Source organism: Homo sapiens, chromosome 10 (genome assembly GCF_000001405.40).
Source record: "Homo sapiens chromosome 10, GRCh38.p14 Primary Assembly".
Taxonomy (NCBI): Eukaryota; Metazoa; Chordata; class Mammalia; order Primates; family Hominidae; genus Homo; species Homo sapiens.
The window spans coordinates 116,406,427-116,410,033 of record NC_000010.11 but is presented as its reverse complement, the minus strand read 5'-3'; the positions used below and the strand labels follow the sequence as shown (position 1 = coordinate 116,410,033).

At 37.6% G+C, this 3,607-nt stretch overlaps 1 pseudogene, besides 1 other annotated feature; it reads right to left on the bottom strand.

Annotated features, from left to right (window-relative positions):
- SNRPGP6 (small nuclear ribonucleoprotein polypeptide G pseudogene 6) lies at positions 388–774 on the bottom strand (annotated as a pseudogene).
- Positions 1,030–1,109: a silencer, noted in NCBI's record as "silent region_2854". NCBI's record gives its function as "represses an Ori minimal core promoter by ATAC-STARR-seq in GM12878 lymphoblastoid cells {active_cell/tissue: GM12878}" and the evidence as "EXISTENCE:reporter gene assay evidence [ECO:0000049][PMID:35858748]".

Sequence of the window (3,607 nt, the reverse complement as noted above, 5' to 3'; positions counted from 1 at the left end):
ATTTCAAGGCTTACTACTTAAAGCTACAGTAATCAAAACACCAAGGTATTGACACAAACACAGACATATAGAGGCCGGGCGCGGTGGCTCAAGCCTGTAATCCCAGCACTTTGGGAGGCCGAGGTGGGCAGATCACCTGAGGTCAGAAGTTTGAGACCAGCCACGACGAAACCCTGTCTCTACTAAAAGTACAAAAATTAGCCGGGAGTGATGGTGGGCGCCTGTAATCCCAGCTGCTCAGGAGGCTGAGGCAGGAGAATTGCTTGAACCCGGGAGACGGAGGTTGCAGTGAGCCAAGATCGTGCCACTGCACTCCAGCCTGGGCGACAAGAGTGAGACTCCGTCTAAAAAAAAAAAAAGACAGACATATAAATCACTGGAACAGAAGAAAGAGGCAGGAAATATATATGACTAATTGATTTGTTTTACTATCATAAAAGTATATTTAACCAAAAGTTTAATATGAAAACATAAATGACCCAATTTTTACATAAAAATAAAACAGGCCCCTTGGAGAGGGGGCATGGATTTCCCTGCTGAACAGCCATTGTTTATACTCGTCACAAGGCTTCTAACATGATGATACTATTTCCATATTACTACCTTTCCAATTTTGTTCTGTTGATCACTAGTTGCCATCTCCACACATTCATCTATCACAAGATTCGTAAAGTGATCAAATCCCTGCAATATCCCTTTGACATGTCTGCCACCATTTAATTTCAATAACTTCTTGTCCATAAGTTGTTTCAACTTGGGAGAGTGAGCTTTGCTGACTGATTTTTGACCAAAGCAATCTAACGGAGAACAGGGAAGTCTTTCTAAAAAAAAAATTGCTCAAAAAAATTGAATATTCACATGAAAAAAATAATAAACCCCTTTCTCACTACATACACAAGAATTAACTTGAGATAGATTATAGACCTTGATATAGTTTGGATGTTCGTCCTTCCAAATCTCGTGTTGAAATGTGATTTCCAATGTTGGAGGTGGGGCCTGGTGGGAGGTGTTGGGGTCACGGAGACAGATCCCTCATGAACGGCTTGGTGCCATCTCCATGGTAATGAGTAAGCTCTCGCTCTGAGTTCACATGAGATCTGTTCATTTAAAGAGCCTGGCACTTCCCCCGTCTCTCTCTCACTTCTTCTTTCACCGTGTGACATACCAGCTCTGCCTTCACTGTCCACTGTGATTGTAAGCTTCCAGTACAGCCTGCAGAAACATGAACCAAAATAAACCACTTCTCTTGATAAATTACCCAGCCTCAGGTATTTCTTTAGAGCAACAAAAAAATGGACTAACTGAGACCTAAATGTAAAGCCCAGAACCCGAAAGCTTTTAGAAAGAAAACATAAGAGAACATCTTAACAATTTTGGAGTAGACAGAGTTTTTGAACAGAGCACAAAAGGTACTAACCATTAAAAAAAATGGATAAAATGGCTTTCATCAAAATTAAACATTTCTATTCATCAAAAGATGTTATTTAGAAACTGAAAAGACAAGCTACAGACTGGGAAAATATTCGTAGCTCCTATAAATGGCATAGGTATATTCAGAGTATAAAAAGAAGTCCTATAAATTTAAAAATAAGTCTGAGTTTTTTAAATGGGCAAAATTCTTAAACAAACCCTTGGTAAAGGAAGTGATATCATTGGCCAGTAAGTACAGGAAAAGGTAGACGAAGCCTCAAGATGACAAAGTCATCAAGAAAATGCAAATCAAAAACACAATAAGATACTATTTCATACTCGATAGAATGGTGGGGAAAAAATTAAAAGATTGACCATGTTGATAAGAATGTGGAGTAACTGGAACTTTCATGCATTATTGGTAGGATTATAAAATAGTACAACTACTTTGGAGAATTATTTGGCACTTTCTTATAAAATAAGCATACACATATCAGCAATAACTCAGCAATTCAATTCCTAGGTATTTACCCAAGGTAAATGAAAACATGGTCACAAAAAGGCTTTTATAAGAATGTTCATAGCAGCCTTATGAATAGTGGCCCCAAACTTGAAACAACACGTGTCTAACCTCAGCAGAATGAATAAATCCATCACAGTATATTCTGTAATAGCTTACCACTCAATAGTAAAAAAGAGTGGTAACATCCATACAACATGGATGAATTTCAAAACTATTACATTTAATGAAAGAAGTCAAACAGTTCATACTTGTATGTATGGTTTCATTCATATGAAGTTCGAGAACAGGAAAATAATCTTTGGTGATAGAAGTCAGAGAGCAATTGTTGAGCAAGGGTAGGGGAGTGAATAATTGACTGGGAAAGAACATGGGGAAGCTTTTTTTTTTTTTTTTTTTTTGAGACGGAGTCTTGCTCCATCTCCCAGGCTGGAGTGCAGTGGCGCGATCTCGGCTCACTGCATCCTCTGCCTCCTGGGTTCAAACAATTCTCCTGTCTCACCCCCCCAAGTAGCTGGGACTACAGGCACCTACCACCACGCCCAACTAATTTTTGAATTTTTAGTAGAGATGGGGTTTCACCTTTTTGGTCAGGCTGCTCTTGAACTCCTGACTTCAGGTGATCCACCTGCCTCAGCCTCCCAAAGTGCCGGGATTACAGATGTGAGCCACCGTGCCCAGCCGGGGAAGCTTTTTGCAGTGATGGAATGCTCTATATTTTGTTTTGGGTGATGGTAGCTTTCACAAATATAGATATTTGCCAAAACTATTGATCACACCCATTAGGATGGCCATTATTTAAAAACAAACAAAAAACCAAAACAAAACAAAACAAAAAAAAACAGAAGATAACAAATGTTGGCAAGGATGTGGAGAAATTGGAACTTTTGTGCATTGTTGGTGGGAATATAAAATGGTATACAGCTGCTTTTGAGGAACTACCATACTGTGGGAAAGAGTATGGTAGTTCCTCAAAAAATTAAACATAGAATTACTATGTGATCCAGTAATTCACTTCTGGGTATATACGCAAAATAATTGGAAGCAGGGAGTCAAACAAATACTGTACACCCCATGTTTAGAGTAGCGTTATTCACAGTAGTGAAAAGGGGGAGGCAACTCAAGTGTCCATTGACAGATGAATGGATTAAAAAATGTGGTATATACATTCCGTGGAATATTATTCAGCCTTAAAAAGAAAGAAAAATCTGACACATGAAACAACATGGATGAACCTTGAGACATTTTGCTAAGTTAAATAAGCCAGACACAAAAGATCAAATATTGTATAATTCCACTTAGATGTACCTAGAATAGTCAAATTTATAGAGACGCAGTAGAATTGTGTCTGATATGGGCTGGCAGTGGAGAATGAGGAGTTACTGTTTAATGGGTATACAGTTTCAGTTTGATAAAATGAAGTTCTGGAGATGTAGTGGTGATGGTTGTACAACAATGTGAAAGTATTTAATGTCACTGAATAATATAGTTAAAATGGTTTAAAATGCTAAATTTCATGTTGTCTACAGTTCATAACAATAATAAATTCATTGAAATGGACACTTAAGATTTGTACATTGTACTGGATGTTATATATACCTCAATTTAAAGTATTTTTTAAAAGAGAAAGAGAAATAATGCTGGAAAACAAAACAAAACAAACAAAAAACAAAAACA